Source organism: Homo sapiens, chromosome 14 (genome assembly GCF_000001405.40).
Source record: "Homo sapiens chromosome 14, GRCh38.p14 Primary Assembly".
Lineage (NCBI taxonomy): Eukaryota > Metazoa > Chordata > Mammalia > Primates > Hominidae > Homo > Homo sapiens.
Genome location: NC_000014.9, coordinates 18,890,567 through 18,917,227, shown reverse-complemented (window position 1 = coordinate 18,917,227; position 26,661 = coordinate 18,890,567). Strand labels below are relative to the sequence as shown.

At 42.4% G+C, this 26,661-nt stretch overlaps 2 pseudogenes; both read left to right on the top strand.

The window, feature by feature from the left end:
- Window positions 1-272: 272 nt before the first annotated feature.
- Window positions 273-4,572, top strand: MED15P6 (mediator complex subunit 15 pseudogene 6; annotated as a pseudogene).
- NF1P7 (neurofibromin 1 pseudogene 7) lies at window positions 7,554-15,902 on the top strand (annotated as a pseudogene).

The window sequence follows — 26,661 nt, the reverse complement described above, 5'->3', positions numbered from 1 at the left end:
TCTCAGCTCACTGCAACCTCCACCTCCCAGGCTCAAACGATTCTCCTGCCTTAGCCTCCCAAGTAGCTGGGACTACAGGCACGTGCCACTATGCCCAGCTAATTTTTCTTTTGTATTTTTAGTAGAGACAGGCCAGGCTAGTCTTTAACTCTTACCTCAACTGATCCACCTGCCTCGGCCTCCCAAAGTGCTGGGATTACAAGCATGAGCCACTGTGCCGGGCCAAACTTCCCTTTTCTTTCCATTTCTTGGTATTTGGAAAGTGAGCAGCCATGGAACAGCCGGTGTTTTCAGCTGGTGCAGACCCAGCTGGTATGCTCGTAAGACTTCTAGCTGAAGGAAGTGTCCACCCTGCAGTCTCGCTGGCATCCCATCACCTTCCAGAAGCAGGATGCCAGCTGTGTGTGCTCTTGGCTCTGTGCTCGGGGTGCTGGTCTTGCCAGTTTTCCCACCCCTTGTTTCGGGTGAGGTCCCGCCCAGCTGGCATGGGAAGGAGGATGGGGATTGGTCACCACTGTGGTTTGTTGCAGAGTGAGTTTGGTGGCTGCCTTGCCTGGGCCCAGCTCCCATGTTTCTCCCGCTTGGCTGCAGCTCCAGCCCTGCTCTGTCCCCCGTAGCTTCCTGCCCAGCTCCACACTGCAGCCTTCCCAGCACCCAGAAACAGCACAAACCCCACAGAACTCCAGTGTCCCCTCCCCTAGTCCTTTACACACACCTGCTAAGCCAGGCCTGGGACCCACAGCTCCATCATGTGAGCTGTACACGGCCTGGCAGGTTGAGGTGCTAGGTCACCCCTCACCTTTAAAAGGCCTCAGGTCATACCATTCATGCGTGCTCTGGGGCCCTCAGAGCCCAAGCTCCCAGCCTGAGGGTCTAGGGCTGAGGCCTCACCCGCCCATAGTCCTGCAGTGACCCCAGCTCTGTCATGAGTCCAGCCGGCTCCAGCCGGGCCAGGAGCAGCTGTACTGGGACACGCTGAAGCAGCTGTCCAAGCACATCAAGCCCCTGCACCGCGTGGTCAACAAGATCGACAAGAGTGAAGGTGGGCTGCGGCCGGGGTGGGGGCCAGTGCCCTGGGGATGCCACCAGGCTCGTGTCTTATGGTCCCCTCTGCTGTCCCAGACAGAAAAAAGGACCTGAGCAAGATGAAGAGCCTTCTGGACATTGTGACAGACCTCTCCAAGCAGTGAGTTTTGCCCACAGCCAACGTAGGGTCCACAAGGGCGTGGGTCGTCCAGCCATGGATGGGCATTTGGTGATGATGTGGGGTTAGCAAAGGCCCCAGGCAGCTCTTTGGGCCCTGGACAGAGGCCTCCAAGTCTCCACTCTGGTGTGTGCTGGGGCTTCGAGCCCAGGCTTCATCTTGGCCGGTGCCCAGCCTTTGCCCTACTCCTGACCACTGCTGCGGCCCTCATGCTGGCCCATCACAGCCAGGTCTCATCCAGCCAGTAGTTGGGGGCCCAGCTTGCAGTGACCTGAACATCAGCTGGCCGTGATGGGCCTGAGCATGACCTGGAGTTCTGCCCCTGACTTCCCGGTGACCATGGACAGGGGACTGCATCTCAGTTACCCCATTTGCAACCCATGTGTGCTGTCATGAAAATGAAACAAGACGGTGCTGGTGAGAAGCAGGTGGAAGGCAGGGCTACCGGGCCACGGGCTGCTGTGAGCTCGGGCAGCACCTCAGAACCGCATGGTCGTTGGCCTATACTTCCCTGTCACCTAAACTCAGGGTGTCCCCCCACCCCCGTCTAGAAGTGTCTCTCTGTTTTGCTTGTCTGGATAGAATGCCAGTCACTATTGGGTGGTCCTCCAGGCCTTCTTGAGTTGATTCTTCATTAGGGTTATAGGACTGAGCAGGACAGGGACTGGCCTAGGTGCAACTGAGGCCTTTCCAGCCTGGTCAGGGTCCCGGCCACTGTCCCTTCTCTTGACCCACTGCCTCACTGCCAACAGGGATGGGCAGCTCCTAGGGGTGAGGGCCACCTGCCTAGACTCTGGGTCTGGGAACAGCTGGTCAGCTGAAGGGAGCTCCTGCAGAGGTTTCTGAGGGCCGAGGCCCAGTGGCAGTGGTTGGGATCCCAGATCCCAGCCTGAGACCTGCCATGGCTCCCAGCCCTCCAGCACAGAGCTCAGCCCAAGTCCCCTCTCTCTGCAGGTCCCCTGAAGACCTTGCCAAAGTGTGAGATCGCCCTGGAGAAACTCAAGAATGACATGGCGGTGGTGAGTGGGATGCTGGGGACCCCTGGGGGATCGGGGCTCCCTCAAGAGCTCCTGGGGGCACCACTGGAGGGGCCTTCATGGTCAGGCTGGGTGGGGGCTGGGCCTGATCTGAGACCCTGCCCACCAGGCCTCTTCCAGGCCAGGTTTGCTGTGCTGGGAGGGAACGTGGGAGAAGTCACCCTCTGTCTGTGGCCCCCGTGGGTGCCTCTGCCACCCGGTCCAGAGACAGCAGGGACTCTGGGGAGGACAAGGCTGTGGGGGTGGGGATTATACCCAGGATCGGCCAACATTGTCTGCACAAGGGTGGAGGCTGAGAGAGAGGCCTCGGGAATCTGGCTGTGAGTGAGGACTGGCCAGAGGTGGGAAGGCCCCCTAAATGGAGAACCCTCAGGTCCCGGGCTTCTGACCGTGCGCATCCTACCGCCAGCCCGCTGCCCCTGGTGCCGCTGACCAAACAGCAGTACCTATGCCAGCAGCTCCTGGGATGCTGTCCTGGCCAATATCCGCTCACCCTCTTCAGGCATTCCCTGTACCGCACATTCGCTCCAGCCATGACTGCCATCCACGGCCCACTCATCACATACATCCAGCTGGGCTGGGCTTTGCAGAGGGCGGATGGCCAGCCCTGGACCATGTGTGCCCACTGTGGTCACCATGCTGCCTCCTCACGTCCACAGTGGTGTGCACCCGGAAGCACAGGCTTGAGGACGATGAGCGGCAGAGCATCCCCAGCATGCTCCAGGGCGAGGTGGCCAGGCTGGACCCCAAGTGCATGATAAACCTGGACTCTTCTCGCTGCAGCAACAATGGCACCGTCCACCTGGTCTGCAAGCTGGGCGAGCGTCCAGGAGGGCCAGGCCGGCACAAGTTCGCAAGCCTTGTCCACAGCACCAGGTCTCTGCCATCCGAGCCGGAGGGCACCGTGCCCAGACCCCACCCTGTGTTCACACCCCAGCAGGCTGTCTGCTTTGTCTTCACATACACGGAGCCCAGGACAGACTGGCCATGCCTCTGCCCCCACGCACCCTCACCTCCCCAACACAGATACGGCTCTGCTTGCCTGGGGCCCTAGGGAGGTGACAGGCAGGACCTCTGGGCACCCATTGACGCAGGGCACTCTGGGCTTCGGTTTGGAAATTTGAGAGTCAGAGAGACATCCAGGCTTTGCCGCATGCCTCACCAGAACCTCCCGGTGTGTGAAGAGTCCTGTTCGGGAGCAGGGCTGTGAGGCGGGGCAGGCCAGGGCTCGTGCGGGTCACAGGTACAGTCTTGTGTGTTGCAAACGACAAGGACCTCCCAAGTGTGCCACCATGTGCCCACCCACTACCCTGCCCAGAGTCCACTGTGGATGGACTGGCAGTGGCTGTACAGTGGGCAGACCCAGAGGAGCTGTCTGGGGGCCCAGGGCAGGCAGGGGTCATTCTGGAAAACCAAGCTTCTAGTGCTGCAGGGACAGCCTCTGTGCCCCTCCCCGGCTCAGGCCCCTTCCTCCCCTCTTCTGGCTCCTCCTGTGTGGAATCTCTCAGGTTCCAGTGGTCATCTGAGAGATAGGAGTCTCTGCTCTTCTGTGTCCCTTTGCCCCTTCATCTTGTGTCCGGTCAGCTTTCCAGGGTGGCTGTGTTCAGTGGCTGAGGGGTGAGAAACCCTACGGCTCAAGGACAGACCCCGCTTTTCCCAGAGGCCACTAGGGAGCTCAGTGGAGCTGACAGGTCCTACCAGTAGCTTGGGCACACAAGACCCCATCTGGGTGATGTGTCTCCAAAAAAAGTCATGTTGACAGGAGTCAGTCTCCCTGAGCCCAGAGCTGGCACATAGCAGGAGCCAGGGCTGGGTCCCCAAGGTTGTCAGGGGCAAAGCCTTGAGCTCCAAATCCCGTTCAGATTCAGTTCTTCACTGATGATGAGGCTCCGGGAGGAGAGCCTGATGGCCAGGCAGGCAGCGTGCAGGGATCCTCCTGGTGCTTCAGCCAGTCCTGGGCTGCCACTTCCCAGAGCACTGCCGGGTGTGCAGGGCGTGGGTGCAGCGCCAGCTGCCTCAGGCTCATGCCCACTGTTCGGTTGCAGGCACCAACCCCTTCCTCAGGTCGATGCACCACCGCGTGACCTCCAGGCGGCTGCAGCTCCCGGACAAGCACTAGGTTACCACCTTGCTCAGCACCTGTGCCCAGAGCATCCACAAGGCCTGCCTCTCGGCTGCCTAGCCAGGACTGCAGGGATGGCCCGCAGCCTCATCGGGGCCAAGGATGCATGCCTCCTGTCAGACACTTCTAGATGTTGGCGTCCATGGAGAGCCTGGAGTTAAGTTAGCTTTCCTCCTTTTCTCTCCTGCCTTGGGGATCTGCCAAATGAAATCCCACACTTGTACAGACTGATAGGTGCGCAGTGGAGTGTGCTGCCTGCAGGGAGTTGGCTGTCTTCTTGGAGAAGGCACTCCATGTGACTTCCTCCATGAAGCCAGACACAGTCCCCAGCCACGATCCTCGGGCTGCTCTCACCACGGCCTGTCCAGGGTCCGGGTGCATCTCAGCAGCATGAGGTTGTGCTCAGGTTGTTGTTAGCGCGTCTTGTGTGTGCTCGACACACCCCTGCTGCTTTCTATAGGAGAACACAGAGGACATAGGAAACCCTTCAAACACACATGGGACTCTCTGCTCACAGTTTTGGGTTCAGGCTGCACTGCTTTGGGCAAGTGGGGCACCCCCTAGGGAAGCCCCTGAGTCCAGGGCACAGGATGCCTCTTTCAATACTTGTTTTTTTTCTCATACTCAGGATCTATACTGTAGACTTTATAACACTGTACCCTTAAGCTACACCAAATTTATTAAAAAATATTTTTTCTTTGATAATTAACTTTTCTGTAGCTTTTAAAATTTATAAACTTTTAAATTTTTTAACTTTTTGACTTGCAATAACAGCTTAAAATACATTGTACAGCTAGCTGTATAAAAATATTTTTCTTTATAGCCTGTAAGTTTTTTTATTTGAAAAACGTTCTATTTTAATTTTCTTGAAAACTCTGTTAAAAGCTGTGACGCAAACATATACATTAGCCTAGGCCTACACTGGGTCAAGATCATCAGTGTTACTGTCTTCCACCTCCACATCTGCTCCCATTGGAAGGTTTTTAGAGGAAATAACGTGTGGATCCAGCTGTCATCTCTTGTAGTAACAATGCCTTTTTCTGGAGTACCTCCTAAAGGACCTTCTGAGGCTGTGTTTCATAGTTAATTTTTTATCTTTAAGTAGGAGTATACTCTAAAATAACAATAAAAAGTATACCATAGTAGGCTGGGCCTGGTGGCTCACGCCTGTAGTCTCAGCACTTTGGGAGGCCCAGGCAATGGATCACCACCTGAGGTCAGGAGTTGAGACCAGCCTGGCCAACATGGCAAAAGGCCTTCTCTACTAAAAATACAAAAAAATAAGTCAGGTGTGGTGGCTTGCAGCTGTAGTCCCAGCTACTCTGGAGGCTGAGGCAGGAGAATTGCTTGAACCCGGGAGGTGGAGGTTGCAGTGAGCTGAGATCACACCACTGCACTCCAGCCTGGACAACAAAGTGAGACTCCATCTCAAAAAAAAAGTATATTATAGTAAATACATAAACCAGTAACAGTTATTTATTCTCATTATCAGGTATTGTATACTATACATAATTGAATGTGCTATACTCTTTTTGTATGAATAGAAGTGAAAGTTTGTTTACACCAGCATCGCTGCAAACAAAAAGTAATGCATTGTGCTTGGACATCATGATGGTTATGTCACTAGGTGATAGGAATTTTTCAGCTGTGTTACATATTGTCTGTCATTGTCTGAAATGTTGTTATGTGGCATAAGACTATTTACTTTTTTTGGAAATTATTCTTAAATAAGGAAAAATTCTGATATCTACTACTTGTTCTCTGATCTTATCTTCCTGTGCAATGGCTGCATTAGAGAAGAGTCGTTAGATAGTTACACTTAGTTACATCAAAGTAAATACATTTGTTTAATCAAAGTTTCAGCTTGATCTAAGGTGAAACACCTCAACTTAGAGTGAGGAAAAAATACAGTTGAAAGAGAGCAAACAGTAAAACCAGAATTTATTACATCATTTAATAAAACATTTGCCTAGGCGTTAAGGGGCAGTTATAAATATAAAACCAAACTATTTGTAAGTTTTGCCATCTCTCTTCTGTAGTGACATTCTTGAATATAAATGTGTGCATTTAAATAGCTATTCTTCCCTTCTGAGGACTACAGCCCTTCAGTGTTCTTGGGTATAATAACAAATGCATGTTTCACTTAATCACAGAAGATGGTTCATTTGTGTTGTAGATATGCATGTCTGCTTTTTAACTTTGAAAGACAGCCCGTTTACTTGGACATTTGTATTATGGGTCCACAGTTGGTATACAGTCTACTATTTCTATGTTATATATATGTTTACATAAAGGCATTCATGTCAAAATCAGATAGTTTTGTGTTCTTTTAAAGAAGAAAAGGAAGGAAATATGTTATAATAATAGGTGATATTAGATCTAGAATATAATTATTGGATTTTTGGTTGAAAAACATCTATGATTATTTTAATTCATCCTATGTCTCTGTAATGGAAACATATTTTCCATAAGTTTACCTTTCTCTGAATTCTTTCTGTTTTATGAATGTTCTTCAGGCAAAATGCGTGCATTCTGTACCTCAAAAGAGATGGAGTGCCATCGAAGGAAAAAGCAAATTTTACAATTAAACTAGTAAATACAGAGATTGTCTAGATAACATATTTCATTAATTCTAAGAAGCACTTATTTTTACTCTTCTCTGAAATTGGGAGTGTATCTTATTTTAGATGGTGTCTTACAATTGACAGTGTGTTTTCATTCCTTTTGGGACATCAAATAATGCTGCATCTTAAAACGGACAATACTGTAGAGTCTGTGAAATACTTGCGTATATGTGTGGGGAGTGTTTGTTAATGAGTTACCCAGTGTGGAGATTTGTGAGAACTATAGACCAAATATTTTTTCCCTTATGTTTTTACATTTTGGAAAATAGTTTTTTAAATAGGAGGCTTTTTACAACCTGATATTAAGCTTTGAGTATTGTAGTAGATTTTCATTGTTTCATTAGATTGATTAAAAAATAATATAAATGGTGCAAAAACAATTTCCATTTTGTAAGCTTAATAATACTGACCTTATGCTTACTACTGAGTGTTTCTACTTATACCACACATTTGGTAGTATAAAAATAGCTTTTTTCAAAGTTTTCTCATAATAAATTTCTTTTAAAAGGTTGGATAGCTATTATCCTGAGTCTTATGTCTGATACCATGTTTTTGTTTTGTTTTTAGAGTCTTATATTTAAAGAAAAAGTAACAAGCCTTAAATTTAAAGAAAAACCTACAGGCCTGGAGACAAGAAGCTGTAAGTATCTTCTCTTGTCCATGGTGAAACTAATTCATGCAGATCCAGAGCTCTTGCTTTGTGTAAGTGTTTTTTTATGAAATGTGTCAAAATTACCACACTAAGTTCATTTGGTTTAACTGAAACGCCAAGACCTTGAGGGTAATTTTTAGCTCAAGAGCACTTACTGATCCTTTCTGATCATAACTGAAAACTAAGACGTCTCTAAGAAACCTAATGTATAATGAATACTGATATAATTAGATCAGATTCTTAATTGCCCTTACCATTTCTTAACATTTCTCTTTCTTCTTAATTTCCGTATCATTCAACTGACATGCTTAACATAACTAAGCTTCTCCAAACTTGTATTCATTATGGGAGAATGCCATTCTTATGTCTGGTTATATCTGCATTAGGTTATTGTTGATGGTAGTAACAATAAATTTTATGTTACTGCAGCTCACAAGTGTATTTTTACATCTGCAAGAAATTAACTAGTCATTAAATGCTTAGTAGCACAGAAATTCTCAAGTGGTTGCAGGAAATTTTGATCTGCAGGAATAAATTTCTTTCTTAAAAATAAGGTAAACGAAATGACATCTTTAAAAAATGAGAGAATATTTGGAATGGTGATGGGGAGAGATTAAGAAAGTGTTTTATAGCCAAATTAGTTTCTATTTCAGCTCCTCCTTCCCCCCAAGGTTCTCAAAAGGATATATATGTGCAGAGGACAAGGGCTGGCAAATTAGCATTTTAAAATTATTCTGAAGCTTTGGCCGTAAAACCACACTGTTGATGAATTCTAGTTCTAGTTGAGTTACATAGGTCTCTATGGGACAGGCTAGGAAAAGTGGGGACTGCTATAACCAAAGTAGCTTGAGGAGCATATTCTATCTTTACTCTCAAGTTCACACATAGACATAATTCATACGTAAAATTTAACATATAGCTTCTATAATTAATCTAAGAATTCTATTATGGCATAGATTTGGGAGTACTTGATTTAATGAGTTTTTTGTCCAGTTCTAGAATCATAGCTCTGAGAAATCATAAAGGCCTAGATGTCGTGGCTAGACTAGTCCAGAGAATTATCTATCAAGAAGCAAAAGGGAAAAGGTTGAGGGTCCTCAATCTAGGTTTATTTCTATTCCTCCAATAAGGGTTTCACATCTTGAAAATTTCACGACACTTCTCGGGGTGGAGTGAAATTTTTTGATTCTGCACTATTGAAACATGGTGAGGTTGTGGCAGATAGAGAAGAGTCTTACATTTCTTCTAACATATAGTTTCTATAGTTAATCAATTTAGGAATTCTATTATGGCCTAGTTTTAGGAGTACTTGATTTAATGAATTTTTATCTGGAACTAGAAGCATAGCTGTGAAAAACCTTAAATGTATGAAACTCATATCCTTTTCAGTATTATACAGCTTGTTATTAATAAATTGTCTCTGTTTAGAAATAGACTAATGGTGAAGTGGGTTTATTCACATCTGGCTTATTTGATGTGTTAATGTAGCAGAATTTGGCATTATTCCAAAGATATGGAAAGAGATTAGACTTCAGACTTTCGTGCCCTTGCCTATGGCATAATCTCCAGAATATGAGTATGAGGAATCCAGTAATGAATTCGTAGTGCCCTGGTCAGCACAGTCACTCTTGTGATATACTTGGTGTATATACCAGTGTTAATTACTGGTCCAGAAGAACTTAATCTCAAGAGTCAATTTCTAGTTATCCCAACATGGCACGGATAAAATCTTGCAGAAAAAAAATCTTTGTCATTGAGACCAAATTATAGTTTTCATACAGTGGATATACATTGTTGATGTTTTACTTATGTTTATGTTAGACTTAATTTATATTTGTAGAATCTACTGTTTCTGATTATTTAGAGAATGGGAAACTGAAAGAAATTTTAAAGACATTAAGTGAACATTATTTGTTCTAATGGGTTTCTAGTGAATTTCCTTCAAGGTGGGGTGTAGAGATTGAGAGGAGAGGTTTTCTAGGAGAGTCTCAAACAGGAAGACAACCGATATAAGTGTTTATTCCTCTTGGTTGTCAGTGTGTCAGTAAAGCTTCTTTCCTTCTTTTTTCTAGCAGGCAGATAGAAGTTCATGTCACTTTCTCCTTTTTTATGGAGTAGGATGTGATACTCCTTCTAGTGGAAATACCAATCAAATGTCCATGGGTCATGAAGTGTCACTACGTACTCCTGAGCCTCTCTCCAGAAGGGAAAAGGGAACTCCTCTATGGTCAGCTTCTTTTGTAATTTTCCTGTATCATCTCGTGTGCTCTATTTGTTTTCTGAATGAACTTTGGTAAATTTCATCCAGGTAATATAGAGTAATAGTGAAAAACTGCTTAGACTCTAGTTCTATCACTGCTCTTTATGGAACTTTGGGCAAGTTCTTAACATCCTTGTTCCTCAATTCCTCAACTTTAAAATGGGGACAATAATAATTCCTGCTCCAGAGTTGTTGTGAGGGTTAAATAAAAAAATGTGTAAATAGCACTTGACACATACAAGCTGTATCTGATAACCTCCACCTCATGAAAAACCATTCATAGCATAGAAGTATAGAATTTGTACCAGCTAACAAAGGTACAGATGTACAGGGATAAAAACAAAATATTTTGTTTCATGTTAAAGATAAGTGTTTCTGTGATTTGCATTTGCGTGTATAATTTCCTTTAAATATAAATCATATTTCAAGTGAAAATATCGGGTCATTACAGAAGAGTTTATTTTCCAAACCAAAACTTTTTTCATCCCTAATTTTTAATATAGCCTTGTTAAAGAAAAAAACATCTAAGCAGTATGCTATTTATTATTGTCTGTTTTACTTGCAGAATTTGAATGTATTTTGTCAATTATTTTCTCCATTTCATGTTTGCGGAATAGGTCATTCAGAATCAAGTCTATCTTCTACAGCAATATTTTGTTCTTGTTTATGCCCTTGTTTCAATGAGTGCCGCAGTGTACTTATTTTATTACTTCCCTAGAGCAAGTAGATAGAATTTCCTGTTACTTCCTCTGTTTTTGTCATTTGTAATTGACTGGGAAGTACATTATATAGTTACTGCAGTAGATTTATGTTATGGTGTTTTACCTGTCCGTGTTAGAATCGGTTTCCATTTCTGGAATCTGGAATAGGATAATACCTATTTTATTTGAAATTGGACAGATAGTAGCTTTATATTGGTCCAGATAATCTCATTTCTCATTTGGACAAGATAATTTGGGGTTTGAAAAATTCATATAATGATTAAAGGAGAAAGCTCTTATGAGTTATTGTATGCTGAGATATATGTGGACACACACACACACACACACACACACACACACGCAGTTTATTGCATTGTTGGGTTTTATACATAAAATTACCCAAGTTGCAAATATATGTCTACCACCCTTGACTCTCAGGATAGTGCAGCAGGATGCAGCGGAACCCCCCTGACTTGCTGACAAGCGCAGACCAAACTAGAAGTGGCCCTGTACATGTTTCTGCGGAACCCTGACACTGAAGCTGTTCTGGTTGCCATGTCCTGTTTCCGCCACCTCTGTGAGGAAGCAGATACCCGGTGTGGGGTGGACGAAGTGTCATTGCGTAACCTCTTGCCCAACTCTAACACATTCATGGAGTTTGCCTGTCAGCAATGTGATGTCAACAGGTAAATATGAATAGTGGTTTTTTTACTCAACCTCCCTAAAGCACATGGCATCTGATTGTGAGAATGTATTTAAGATTACACTTCTGTAAGTTTACAGGAGAAATTCAAGTAGCTTACTTGAAATCCTTTTCTGAACAAAGTAAGATGAAAATAAAAAGCGTTTGAAATAAATTGTTAGTCTCCCACTGAGTTTTTAATATGCTATAGATTTTAAAATTAACTGGCAGTACGTGTTACTATCAGTTATGACTATGTAATTTACGTTTGTATGACTATGTAATTTATGTTATCCATATACATAGTCAAATTACATATGACTATGTAATTTATGTTATCCATAACTCCGTATGTTATGGATAGTGAAGTTTACACACATTGGCATATGTTTTGAGTAAATTATAGGTGGGAATAGCTATTTTATGCTGTGGACATTGTAGAGTCTAAGATAAGTACCTTTCCTGTGAGGTTAGTGAACGGAAGTTTTTGGCTTTATCATTTGAGGCATTTGCTCTGCTCCTCCTACTCTGCCTTTTGGGTGGGGCTTATCAGGTTCTCCATTGGCAGGCAGGGCTCTAAGTGCAGTAACTTGATTTGCTGTTGTAGTTGCTTAGGCACAGCAGCACTTCAGAAAGAGTGATGGCACTGCTGAGGCGCACTGAGCATCCCACTGCAGGAAACACTGAGGTGTGCTCTTAGCAAGAGAAACACCCCTCCCAGGCGCCCACCCTCAGTTTTGGAAGCCTCTTGTTACATATGTGTGATGAGGAATAGCTTTTGAAGTAAATCCAAGATATGTGCATATTACAAGTATAATATCTGAGTACTTAATATATATCAAGTTTGAAGCTTGGCTGTTGCTGATTGATGTTTAGCTCTAGACTTAAAGTTGCTTTCAAGTGATAACTGTCTTCATTTTAGACTTGGGAAGATACACATGCAAAATGGGAACAAGCAACAAAACTAATCCTTAGCTATCCAAAAGCCCAAATGGAAGATGGCCAGGTAAGTCTGTAAAGTTGACTTTTGTCTATTAACTGATCTGCTAAATATATGTCCTTCTCTTTGGTAATCTTTCACGAGTCACTCAGTAAAGTAAGCATATAGTTGTCTGAAGACTGATATTTAGTTGTGGTTTATCTAGACCTGTACTTTGTAATATGATAGCCACTAGCTACGTGTGACTATTTAACTTAAATTTTAACATAATTAAAATTAAATACAGTTTAGTTCCTCAATCATATAGTAGCCACATTGCAGGTACCCAGTAGCCACATATGACAGGTACTTACTCTGTTGGACAGCAGAGAGAAAATGTTGCCATCATCACAGAAATACTGGGCAGCACTGCTAGAGACTGTTTGTTGCAAAGACCATTTCTTTATCTTTTCTTGCTCTTTCTCCCTTCATCAGGGTGTTTCACAGAATTTTCAGAAAAGGAGCAACAGAGGTAGAGAAAAATTAACATGGAAACCATTCATTTTGCTATTTTGTTAGGTATTCTAATTAAAGAATGTCTTGGGCAGAAGATGGAACCCATAGATAAAATGAAATTTTAAAACATGGACAGTTCCTTCAACTATTACTATTGACTATATTATCCATTACTTTGGAAATTGATGAGTTGGTGTTCGTGTGTATATGATTTATAATGTTCACATTGCTCTCATTATTAGGTGGTTTATAAAAACTGGCTCTTCCCCCATGTTATTTTTCTGTCATGCTTAATTATAATAAGAAAAAAGTTATAGTTTTGTGAAGCAAAATTGTGTACCTCATACCTTTATTTGGAGGGGACATGTAGCTTTAGAATGAAAGCTTTTGGGGGTAACTGTTACTATAATATGTAATTACATACCATACAATTCACGCATTTAAAGTGTCCAATTCAGTGACTTGTTAGCATATTCACAGAGTTGTGCAACCATCACCACCATCAGTTTCAGGACAATTTCATCAATTGAGAAAACCCTGTATCCTTTAGCTATCTCTGCCTCTAACAACCCCCCAACTTTCTTGTCTCTCTTCCCCCCGCCTCTCCAACCCTGGGCAACCACGAATCTACTTTGTCTCTGTAGATTTGCCTATTCTGGATATTTTCTGTAAATGGAGTTTTAGAATATGTGGGCTTTTACGATTAGCTTCTTTCACTTAGCATAATGTTCCCAAGGTTCATCCGTGTGAAATCAAAGCTTTTTAAAAGAAATTTGATACTTGGGCAATTATATTAGTATATGACAAAAATAAATCAGTGGCTCTTTAAAAATGTATATGGTAATTTAGGGGGTTGATTTTAATGTATTTTTTTACATTTTTGTGTACGTTTGTCACGGAAGAAATGTTGGATAAAGAGTAATTTGTCAAGTCTCAACTAATTTAGGTTTAATTCATGCTTTGCACAAAAATTTTGTGTTTAGGCTGTTGAAAGCTTCACAAGACCATTGTTAAGAGGCGAATGTCCCATGTGAGTGGAGGAGGACCCATAGATTTGTCTGACACAGACTCCCTACAGGCATGGATCAACATGACTGGCTTCCTTTGTGCCCTTGGGGGAGTGTGCCTCCAGCAGAGAAGGAATTCTGGCCTGGCAACCTATAGCCCACCCGTGGGTCCGGTCAGTGAACATAAGGGTTCCATGATTTCAGTGATGTCCTCAGAGGGAAACGCAGATACACCTGTCAGGAAATATATGGATCAGCTGTTGTCGTTAATGGTGTGTAACGTTGAGAAAGTGGGACTTCAAATACGGACCAATGATAAGGACCTGGTGGGTCTAGAATTGAGTCCTGCTCTTTATCTGATGCTATTTAACAAATTGAAGAAGACCCATCAGCAAGTTTTTTGACTCCTAAGGACAGGTAAAGTGTGCTCTTTTTTATTTTTCACCTTTCCCTATGAATAGAGTGACTTGTTTGAAATAATGAAGCCTTTTTCTTTCAGATTATTTAAATTAGGTACTCACAGTTTTTAAAAATTGTCAAAAAATTGTAGAAAGAAGAATCATCTCAATGAATGGTCAGCTTGCTTCTAGGAACTCTGATGTGTATGTGTGCCTGAGGGTATACGTGCCTTGTATATGGGTATGAGTGTCTGTGTATATCTGTGTGCCTGTTTGGCTGCGTGCCTGTGGGTGCATGTCTCTATTTGTGTGTTTAGATCAGTCAGTTTCATCTCTCTAGGGATCTGTCTTCTGGGCATTGATGGCAAATCATTAATATATTTGTTCTCTCTATAGGTTTTATTGACTGATACCAATACTCACTTTGTAGATATAATGAAGAACTTGCTAGATAATCATACTGAAGGCAGCTCTGAACATCTAGAGCAAGCTAGCATTGAAACAATGATGTTAGATCTGGTCAGGTAAGCCTTCTACTGAAATGTAGCAGAAACATACTTTAAGATTTAAGAGACAAGAAAAACCTCTTACACATTGATATTGATAGTAATTGATAAAATAATTTGCCATTCTTTACTGCACACAAACTAGGCTGTGACAACAAGGTAACCAGAAATTGTGTATGCTCTCCTATAAATAAATGTCTTACTGTTTTCAAACTTACGATTAGTTCGTTTTATTTGATGGTTAAAGTATCTTGAATGCCTTATCTTGTGTCTGTATCTGATAATTTTTTTATTGTCTCTATGTCTGTATAGGTACGTTTGTGTGCTTGGGAATATGGTCCATGCAATTCAAATAAAAACGAAACTGTGTCAGTTGGTTGAAGTAACGATGGCAAGGAGAGATGACCTGTCATTTTGCCGAGAGATGAAATTTAGGTGAGTTCTCAAAAGAGCAATGTAGGGTCTTGTAAATCTTTTTTTTTTTTTTTTTTTTTTTTTTTTGAGACGGAGTCTCGCTCTGTCGCCCAGGCTGGAGTGCAGTGGCGGGATCTCGGCTCACTGCAAGCTCCGCCTCCCGGGTTCACGCCATTCTCCTGCCTCAGCCTCCCAAGTAGCTGGGACTACAGGCGCCCGCCACTACGCCCGGCTAATTTTTTTGTATTTTTAGTAGAGACGGGGTTTCACCGTTTTAGCCGGGATGGTCTCGATCTCTTGACCTCGTGATCCGCCCGCCTCGGCCTCCGAAAGTGCTGGGTAAATCTTAATTTGTTGAATGAAGTACAGAAATGGAGTAGATATCTGGTTATTGGTAGGAAGGAAGACATAAAAAGAGAGCAGTTTACATGTTTGTTTTTCTCTGTGTCTCTCCTCAAATTTCCCTAAGCTTTGTGCCTGTGGCAAGCCTCCCTTTTTCTAAAACTCTGCTGTACTTGAGCTAAGAATTTGATCCTGTTTCCAATCTGATAGCATAACTAAAGGCCATGATGGAGGATCAGTATCCACGTTGCTTGTTCCTTCTGGCTTTTACATCTATGATAGCAGTATCTCTTTTATAAAGTCGTCATGTCACCTGGGTTATCTGCCAAATTATTTGCACCATAAGTAATCTTACATGACTGAAGGTGTGTGTGTGGGGGGGTATGACTTCAGAAAAATTGTTTGCTGTTTCTCTTTTCTCCACCATTCTATAGGAATAAGATGGTAGAATACCTGACAGACTGGGTTATGGGAACATCAAACCAAGCAGCAGATGATGATGTAAAATGTCTTACAAGGTAAAAAAAATGACTTTCAAATATTAGTGGGTTTTACTGTGAGAATTATAACTACTTCATTACAGCTTTATACTTGTATTTTATGTGTATTTAAACTTTTTAGATGTAAAACTTTCGTGTTCAAAATATGTAAAGACACTAATCTTTATTACTACTTTTTCTTGACCGATAGACTTTCAGGAAAAATAAATGTGCGAGAGCGGTATGTTTGGGAAGTTATTGTTGTCAGTTTATGAAGAATAGTCTACAGTTATTGGGAAATAAGATACATAAAGCCTCAGATTGCATTTATGTTATGATGAGATAGATAAAGGTATTATTTGAGAAACTCATTGTGTTGAGTCTAAGAAACAATTGATTTCCTGATTCAAACACCAGAGATAGACCAAAAAAGGAAGTAATTAAGTCTACTTTAATGATAAATACTTATTGACACATATCAGAAAGTGATTAAACACTATGGACTGTATAATAAGCATTTACATATGTTTCTTTGACAAAGCCTAGCTTTATAATACGGTCGTCTCTCAGTATCTGTCAGGGATTGGTTCCAGGAACCACCCCCCAAACTCCTGCCCACATCTCACTCCCATGAACACTAAAATCCACAGACTCAAGTCCCTGATACAAAATGTCATAGTATTTGCATATAAACTGTGCACATCCTCCCATATATTTTAAATATTTTTAGATTACTTATAATATCTAATACAATATAAATGTTATATAAATAGTTGTTATACCATATTGTTTAAGGAATAAAAACAAAGAAAAATCTGTACATGCTGAGTATTTGAAATCCAGGAGATTAGGTTGGACTTTCAATAAATGGTATTGATAAAACTGAGTAATGATCTGGAAAAATATCTTCATACCATTTATGAGGATAAACTCCCATCAATCAAAACAGCATGGCAAAGCAAGGCCTTTTTCATCCATTCAAAATCCATAAGCTAGAAAGGAAAAGATTGATAAAATGAATTCATTCAAAAATCATAAACTTCTGTCTGGGACAAAAATGTCATGAGTAAAAACAATCCTATGGTTAATATCCTCGTCCAATAGTTCTCTTAGAATAGTCCTAAAAGTGCTTTTGTGGCTCAAAGAGCAATACCTTGAAATTTTTGGTGCATGTTGTCAGATTACCCTTTAGAATGCCTGTTGCTTTTAAAATATTTTTTTATTTTAGTATTTTATTGTTTATCCAATTATAGACTATTTTACATACTCAGTAGACAACATAAAGCCTCAGAGGTACTGTGTTCTTTTTCTTTTAGGCATCAGGTACCTGAAAAAGAAGAGATCAAGGCTTTGAAAACGTTAAGTATTTTCTACCAAGCTGGGGCTTCCAAAGCTGGGAATCCTATTTTTTATTATGCTGCACGGGGTAAGAAATACTATGTTTGGTGTCTCCTCTCAACAGAATTTTTTAAACGATAGCAATTATAGAGATGGCAAGTTTGGTTTTTCATATTTGACTTAACAAGAATTGAAGACAAGTTTACCTGGGAGCATACAGTGGGTTAAATAGCCTGCCTTTCCTAAAATGGTGGTCAGTATCTAGTAACTGCTTTTCAGACTACCCATTTCATATTGGTTTCCCTGTCCTACATCATTTTTTAAAATACTGCCTACAATGGATTAATTACCAAGAGTTAAAAAACCACAAAGCATCTTTTGTTTTCAAGTATATTCTGATTAAATAGTACAACATGATAAGCGGGAACTTTTTTTAAAAGAAGAAATAAAACTGTAAGAGCCTGTTTCTGAGAACTTTTAAGAATATGCTGTGTAAGACAGCATCAGGGTGATTTAGAAAATAATTCAAAGGGGTGGTGGGAAATCATGAAGATGGTGCAAGGGGTGGCCTGGGAAATGGTGCTTGTTCGTGCTGCCCTCAGTCGAGGCTGGTTCCTAGAAAGCCTTTCTGGAAATGTTGTGAGCTCTTCCTTAATAATAGATATGATGCTTGCATTGCCTTCCCTATCATTGTCTTTTTTTCTTGCCTCATTTTACCTTCCTTTTGAAAACTCTTCTGTGACATTATTTGGTCCCATTTACCATAACATACATTCGTGGTAATTGAGCCTTAGGGACAACATGATACGTATAGAGACCACTGATTTTGGAATCTCAAGGATCATGTTTAGACTTAGTTCTGCCAATCATTAGCTATAGACTTAATCTTTACCAGTTTCCTGGATTTAACAGTGTTTAACATCCATGACCGTTAAGTTAGTAGACGTACATTGTTAGTCAATTTGCTGGCCACAGGTGGCAGTGTGTAGGAAACAAATTGAGGTTGAGAAATAGTGGAGAGGCGGTGAAGAATCAGTGGAAGATGGGAAACTTGTCTAATTAGGTCATTCATATAGCCTTAAGACCAAGAAGTCCAAAGGACTGGAGCATTAGGGAATCAAGAAAGTAAGAAAATTTTGTCGAACCTCCCCCTGCCCCCGCCCTTTAACAATTCTAAGTAACCCCTTCTCACCTTCCCATGAAAGGCCTCTCTCCAGCTCTTATCTCAGTTGCTATTTCTAAATTGCCTAAGATAATTTTAATTTTCTTTTTTTTTTGGATTTTAGCATTCTAATTTTTTTTTATTATTATACTTTAAGTTTTAGGGTACATGTGCACAATGTGCAGGTTTGTTACATATGCATACATGTGCCATGTTGGTGTGCTGCATCCATTAACTCGTCATTTAGCATTAGGTGCATCTCCTAATGCTATCCCTCCCCGCTGCCTCCACCCCACAACAGGCCCCGGTGTGTGATGTTCCCCTTCCTGTGTCCATGTGTTCTCATTGTTCAATTCCCACCTATGAGTGAGAACATGCAGTGTTTGGTTATTTTGTCCTTGTGATAGTTTGCTGAGAATGATGGTTTCCAGATTCATCCATGTCCTTACAAAGGACATGAACTCATCATTTTTTATGGCTGCATAGTATTCCATGGTGTATATGTGCCACATTTTCTTAATCCAGTCTATCATTGTTGGACATTTGGGTTGGTTCCAAGTCTTTGCTATTGTGAATAGTGCCACAATAAATATACGTGTGCATGTGTCTTTATAGCAACATGTTTTATAATCCTTTGGGTATATACCCAGTAATGGGATGGCTGGGTCAAATGGTATTTCTAGTTCTAGATCCCTGAGGAATCGCCACACTGACTTCCACAATGGTTGAACTAGTTTACAGTCCCACTAACAGTGTAAAAGTGTTCCTATTTCTCCACATCCTCTCCAGCACCTGTTCTTTCATGACTTTTTAATGCTTGCCATTCTAACTGGTGTGAGATGCTACCTCATTGTGGTTGTGATTTGCATTTCTCTGATGGCCAGTGATGATGAGCATTTTTTCATGTGTCTTCTGGCTGCATAAATGTCTTCTTTTGAGAAGTGTCTGTTCATATCCTTCGCCCACTTGTCAATGGGGTTGTTTGTTTTTTTTCTTGTAAATTTGTTTGAGTTCATTGTAGATTCTGGATATTAGCCCTTTGTCAAATGAGTAGATTGCAAAAATTTTCTCCCATTCTGTAGGTTGCCTGTTCACTCTGATGGTAGTTTCTTTTGCTGTGCAGAAGCTCTTTAGTTTAATTAGATCCCATTTGTCAATTTTGGCTTTTGTTGCCATTGCTTTTGGTGTTTTAGACATGAAGTCCTTGCCCATGCCTATGTCCTGAATGTTATTGCCTAGGTTTTCTTCTAGGGTTTTTACAGTTATAAGTCTAACATTTAAGTCTTTAATCCATCTTGAATTAATTTTTGTATTAGGTGTAAGGAAGGGATCCAGTTTCGGCTTTCTACATATGGCTAGCCAGTTTTCCCAGCACCATTTATTAAATAGGGAATCCTTTCCCCATTGCTTGATTTTGTCAGGTTTGTCATAGATCAGATAGTTGTAGATATGTGGCATTATTTCTGAGGGCTCTGTTCTGTTCCATTGGTCTATATTTCTGTTTTGGTACCAGTACCATGCTGTTTTGGTTACTGTTGCCTTGTAGTATAGTTTGAAGTCAGGTAATGTGATGCCTCCAGCTTTGTTCTTTTGGCTCAGGATTGACTTGGCAATGTGGGCTCTTTTTTGGTTCCATATGAACTTTAAAGTAGTTTTTTCCAATTCTGGGAAGAAAGTCATTGGTAGCTTGATGGGGATGGCACTGAATCTATAAATTACCTTGGGCAGTATGGCCATTTTCACGATATTGATTCTTCCTACCCATGAGCATGGAATGTTCTTCCATTTGTATGTATCCTCTTTTATTTCATTGAGCAGTGGTTTGTAGTTCTCCTTGAAAAGGTCCTTCACGTCCCTTCTAAGTTGGATTCCTAGGTATTTTATTCTCTTTGAAGCAGCTGTGAATGGGAGTTCACTCATGATTTGGCTCTCTGTTTGTCTGTTATTGGTGTATAAGAATGCTTGTGATTTTTGCACATTGATTTTATATCCTGAGACTTTGCTGAAGTTGCCTATCAGCTTAAGGAGATTTTGGGCTGAGACGATGGGGTTTTCTAGATATACAATCATGTCATCTGTAAACAGGGACAATTTGACTTCCTCTTTTCCTAATTGAATACCCTTTATTTCCTTCTCCTGCCTGATTGCTCTGGCCAGAACTTCCAACACTATGTTGAATAGGAGTGGTGAGAGAGGACATCCCTGTCTTGTGCCAGTTTTCAAAGGGAATGCTTCCAGTTTTTGCCCATTCATTATGATATCGGCTGTGGGTTTGTCATAGATAGCTCTTATTATTTTGAGATACGTCCCATCAATACCTAATTTATTGAGAGTTTTTAGCATGAAGTGTTGTTGAATTTTGTCAAAGGCCTTTTCTGCATCTATTGAGATAATCATGTGGTTTTTGTCTTTGGTTCTGTTTATATGCTGGATTACGTTTATTGATTTGCATATGTTGAACCAGCCTTGCATCCCAGGGATGAAGCCCACTTGATCATGGTGGATAAGATTTTTGATGTGCTGCTGGATTCGGTTTGCCAGTATTTCATTGAGGATTTTTGCATCAATGTTCATCAGGGATATTGGTCTAAAATTCTCTTTTTTTGTTGTGTCTCTGCCAGGCTTTGGTATCAGGATGATGCTGGCCTCATAAAATGAGTTAGGGAGCATTTCCTCTTTTTCTGTTGATTGGAATAGTTTCAGAAGGAATGATACCAGCTCCTCCTTGTACCTCTGGTAGAATTCGGCTGTGAATCCATCTGGTCCTGGGCTTTTTTTGGTTGGTAAGCTATTGATTATTGCCTCAATTTCAGAGCCTGTTATTTGTCTATTCAGAGATTCAAATTCTTCCTGGTTTAGTCTTGGGAGGGTGTATGTGTCGAGGAATTTATCCATTTCTTCTAGATTTTCTAGTTTATCTGCATAAAGGTGTTTATAGTATTCTCTGATGGTAGTTTGTATTTTTTAATTTTCTTTTGTACTTGAGATGAACCATATTTGCATTCTAACCCCAACCTTTAATACAACCAGGATGTTTTTACTTCCCCTTTTTTGTGTAAGTAAAAAGCAAACATTGGTGAGGAAGGTAGAAGATGTGTGTCCCCTCCTCTTTAATTTTTTTTTTTTTTTGCGACAGAGTCTCGCTCTATCACCCAGGCTGGAGTGCAGTGGCTGGATCTTGGCTAACTACAAGCTCTGCCTCCCGGGTTCATGCCATTCTCCTGCCTCAGCCTCCCTAGCAGCTGGGACTACAGGCGCAGGCCACCATACCCGGCTGATTTTTTGTATTTTTAATAGAGACAGGGTTCCACTGTGTTTGCCAGGATGGTCTCTATCTCCTGACCTCGTGATCCACCTGCCTCAGCCTCCCAAAGTGCTGGGATTACAGGCATGAGCCACCATGCCCAGTCTAAAATCTGACTAGTTTACAAATAGCAAAGATTTCTGGAAAACAAAGTTGGGTTGGTTTTTTTTTCAGGATCAGAAACTGTTATATTTGTATTCCTTCTCTGTGGTGATCTAGAAAAAGCTAAAGGAAAGCAGATTGGACCTGCTGTAGATACTTCAGTGAGATTCAATCAGTTCGGTTTCCGTGAAACCTGTTGAGTGTTGTGGCTTGAGAGTGCTAAGGATTCTCAGCTCTGCTGCTTATTAGCTGCATATTCTTTTTTTTTTTTTTTTTTTTTTTTTTTGAGATGGAGTTTCACTCTTGTTGCCCAGGCTGGAGTGCAGTGGCACAATCTTGGCTCACTGCAACCTCCACCTCCTGGGTTCAAGTGATTCTCCTGCCTCAGCCTCCTGAGTAGCTGGGATTACAGGCATGCACCACCACATCCAGCTAATTTTACATTATTAGTAGAGACGGGGTTTCACCACGTTGGCCAGGCTGGTCTCGAACTCCTGACCTCAGGTGATCTGCCTGCCTCAGCTTCTCAAAGTGCTGGGATTACAGGTGTGAGCCACCACACTTGGCTTTAGCTGCATAATCTTAGATAAGTTTATTTTTCCAAATCTGTTGCTTCATATGTTAAAGCTGGGGTGTGTGCTTATGAAAACTGTCCACCTCTCCTATGAAGTGTTTTGTGACCTATAAAGTTGTGTAAGGAGTAAATTTGAGATTTTCTTTTTTTCTTTCTTTCTCTTTCTGGGGGATATGGCACTGTCAGTTTCAGATTTTCAGTCCTTTTAGCTTCTTACTTAGACCTACTGGAGCTCCTCCTGGCCTTCATTTTTGCCTGGTGGGAAGCCTAGCTGCAGGACAGATGAGTACACAGTACATCAGGGCAGAGCATCCATTTACTCCATTATGAAGGTCTTGTCTGTCTATATGCCATCAGCTTTGTCAAAGAGCACTTGGGTTTGACTTGTCTTTTGATACTCCTCTGTTTCTGTGGCTTAGACTACCATGTATTAAGTGATGCTTTTTGAATTGCGGATTTTCCAATCTCCTCATAGATAGTCCGCAGACGTTTCAGACTTGAAATGTCCAAAACTTAATTCAGTATCTCTTCCAATCAACCTCCTGTTCACACCATATTTCTCTTTCTCAGTAGCATCATCATCTCTTCTAGTTCCCCATCTAGAAACCCTAATCATTTTAAATTCTTTCCTCTTATTTCTTTTTTTTTTTTTCCTGGTGTCCCCTGGGGTTTGTAAAGCTCTCCAGACATTGAGACTGTGCGGGCATGTCTCACTCCAAATTGGGCGAAATCAGTCATTGATTTTAATAGATTTTCACCAGGTACCTTTTCTGCGTTAAGCAGTGGGTTAGAGGCTAGACTCAGAGATGAGTAAAACCAGACCCCACCCCCTGACCTAGCCCTTCTTGCTCAAGAAGCCAACACTTAGTGAGAGCATCGGAAAGCCTGGTGGGCTTCTGAGCCCTGGGACTGGAGAAGTGGGGGTCCCAAAACCCATTACAAGATCAAAGAGAATAACAACAGGAAACTGCCAGAAATACCCAGTCATGGGCAAAGGGGCCTGTCCACATACCACTTGATGCACAAGAACCCGTGTCCTTACTTGAGAGTACATGTGTGTTCACAAGCACGTGGAGCCCAAGGGCCTGTGCAGCTGTCCATGTGGGGATGGGTATCAGGCTTCTGATTGGGATGCACAAGTGGTGTGGGAGTCTCTTTTTTAATTATTATTATTATACTTTAAGTTTTAGGGTACATGTGCACAACGTGCAGATTTGTTACATATGTATACGTGTGCCATGTTGGTGTGCTGCACCCATTAACTCGTCATTTAGCATTAGGTATATCTCCTAATGCTATCCCTCCCCCTTCCCCCCTCCTCTTATTTCTTTTATCTTCCTCATTGTTAGTCACCAAATCTTGAGTTTACCTGTGAGAGCCTGGGCGATCAATTTAAGTTGTTCCAATTAGGCTTTTATTGCCAAGCAGTCATTTGTATTTTCTTAAGGATCTTAGGAAAAGCATGAATTAGAGCAGAGCCTACCCAGATATAGAGAGAACTAGATGGCTGTGGGTTCTGGAACTGGCTACGCTCTTTGACTGTCTCTTGGTTTTGTGTTCAGCTCTTCCTCATGATTTTCATCTTTCTGTATCCTTTCAGCTTTTGCCCCAGATAGTAATCCCTTCATTATCTCAGTACTTGCATGTCTAAAATTCCAGAAAGAAAATATGATTCAGCTAAAAAATATCTCTGCTTGGCAGGACCTTTAATGTTAGGTGCTGGCCAGCCAGTTGATTTCTGGTGTCCCTATGTCCAGTATGTGCCTCAGCCTGCCGAGTAGCTGGGATTACAGCCACCACCACACCCAGCTAATTTTTTGTAATTTTTAGCAGAGACAGGGTTTCACCATGTTGCTTAGACTGGTCTTGAACTCCTGACCTCAGGTGATCCGCTCACCTCAGCCTCCCAAAGTGCTCGGATTATAGGCGTGAGCCACAGGGCCCAGCCCACCTGAGGCTTCTTTTTCCTTCCCAAGCCACATCACCATCCTGGTGGAACCCTCCTGTGAGGACAGCCAAGGCCTGAACTACCTGCGGTGGGGAGCACCTCAGGGTTTGCCCAGGCAACCAGCCAGCCCTGGTCCAAGGCATCCTGGAGCGAGTTGTGGATGGCCCCGTGCCCCACCAGACAGTGCGCCTGGAGGACCTGAACGAGAGCGGTGAGCCCCAGGCTGGGGAGCCAGTGCTGCCTGGCATCCTCCGGGCATCCTACCTGGCTGAGGGTCTGGGCCTGGGCCTGCCGGTGACAGCCATCCCTGTCCTTCCTGCTGAGGGGGCAGGCTGTCAAAGCTTATGTGAAAGCAGCTGAAGAAACAGTCACAGCCCATAAGGCAATGCTCCCTGGCCTTCGTTTCCCCAGTGATAACGACACTGCCAGAATATCCCCCTCAGTGCAGTGGCCAAAGTCAGAAAGTGGGATTAGCCAGGCATGGTGGCTCCCAGCACTTTGGGAGGCCAAAGCGGGTGGATCACTTGAGGTCAGGAGTTCGAGACCAGCCTGGAACATGGCAAAACCCCATCTCTACTAAAAATACAAAATAGTAGGGCGTGGGGGCGCACGTCTATAATCTCAGCCACTCAAGAAGCTGAGGCATGGGATTACGGCTGCCAGAAAAAATGTTGTTGCCCAAGCTAGAGTGCAGTGGCGCAATCTCGGGTCACTGCAACCTCCACCTGCCAGGTTCAATAGATTCTCCTGCCTCAGCCTCCCAAGTAAGTGAGATTACAGGCATGTGCCACCACGCCTGGCTAATTTTTTGTATTTTTAGTAGAAATGGGGTTTCACCACGTTAGCCAGGTGAATCCCAAAGTTCTGGGATTACAGGCAAGAGCCACCGCACCCAGCCGATATTTTGAATTTTTAAGGTTCATCAGCTTGGTCATTTGTGTGATCCAAAGTTGTAGGCATTTTAAAAACATTAAAAATGTTTTCATTTTTTATTTCTTCTATAATTTTAGACACATATTCATTTTTATTTCTTCTGCAGTTTTAGCTATATATCCCTAAGGTCATACAGCTAGTAAAAGCTAGGATTCAAGCCCAGGTCTTCTCATTGTGTTGCTTCTCCAGTACTGCACTACCTCTCCAAGATGCTTTTGATGGTAGCTACAGGATTGCTAAGACCATATATGGGAAAGGGCTTTGTAAACTGAGGCTTTTTTATGTAAAGCAGAACATGATGTGAGATTAAGAAAAGTAAATACTAAAGGAGAAAAGGATGATAAACCCATTTATATAGTCTGTCAATTTAACTTTTTTAATTTTTTTTTTTTTTTTTTGAGACAGAGTCTCGTTCTATCACCAGGCTGGAGTGCAGTGGCACGATCTCGGCTCACTGCAACCTCTGCCTCCCAGGTTCAAGCGATTCTCATGCCTCAGCCTCCCGAGTAGCTGGGACTACAGGCACGTGCCACCACTTCCAGCTAATTCTTTGTATTTTTAGTAGAGACAGGGTTTCACCGTGTTAGCCAGGATGGTCTCGATCTCCTGACCTCGTGATCCACCCGCCTCAGCTTCCCAAAGTGCTGTGATTATAGGCATGAGCCACCCACGCCCAGCCAAGTTTAAATGTTTATTTTAATGTTTGTGCAATAACGTCCAGTTTTACCAAGCAGAATGATGTGCATAGGAGCTTTTATGCAGAACTCACTGTTCTTCAGTTAGAGCTTATTACTCTAATAGTGAAATCAAATCCATCTTCAGTTGCTACATGGCTTTGTTAAACAGTTAAACTTGAGTTGGAGATGCTCTGTCGTAGGGAGGAATTTTCGCTCCACAGATGTGTTCATATAATGTATTTTCCCCTTTCCCCTATGGAAACTTTGTGGAAAGATTATTTCAGTGTTAACCCTGATTGATATTTTAGTAATTAAACAAGTGTCTGTTACTCCTTTATCAAGCATTTAATGAGTGTCTTCGGTGTGCTAGGCACTGCACTAGACTCTGGGGAGTCAAGGATGAATCACACTTAGTTTCTACCCCCTGGGAATTCATTCTGGTTGGAGAAATTGTTAAAAAAAATTATCATCCTATGGGATACTTTTTTAAAGTATGAAATGAGATAATGTATGTGAGAAAACTTTGGAAGCTTTACACATTTAAGATTTTTTTCTCCAGTGCATAGCCTGATGCCTGACATATTTTAAATGCTCATTATACCCTTGAATGAATTGGTGAAGAGCCAAGAGTTATGAGAGCATAATACTAGAGTGTAGATGGATTAGTTCTGCCTGGATGGACAGGTGAGATGCGGAGGCTTCCAAGAATATAACTTTTGAACTGGACTTGGAAATATAAGTTGCTTAAGAATTGAGAGAG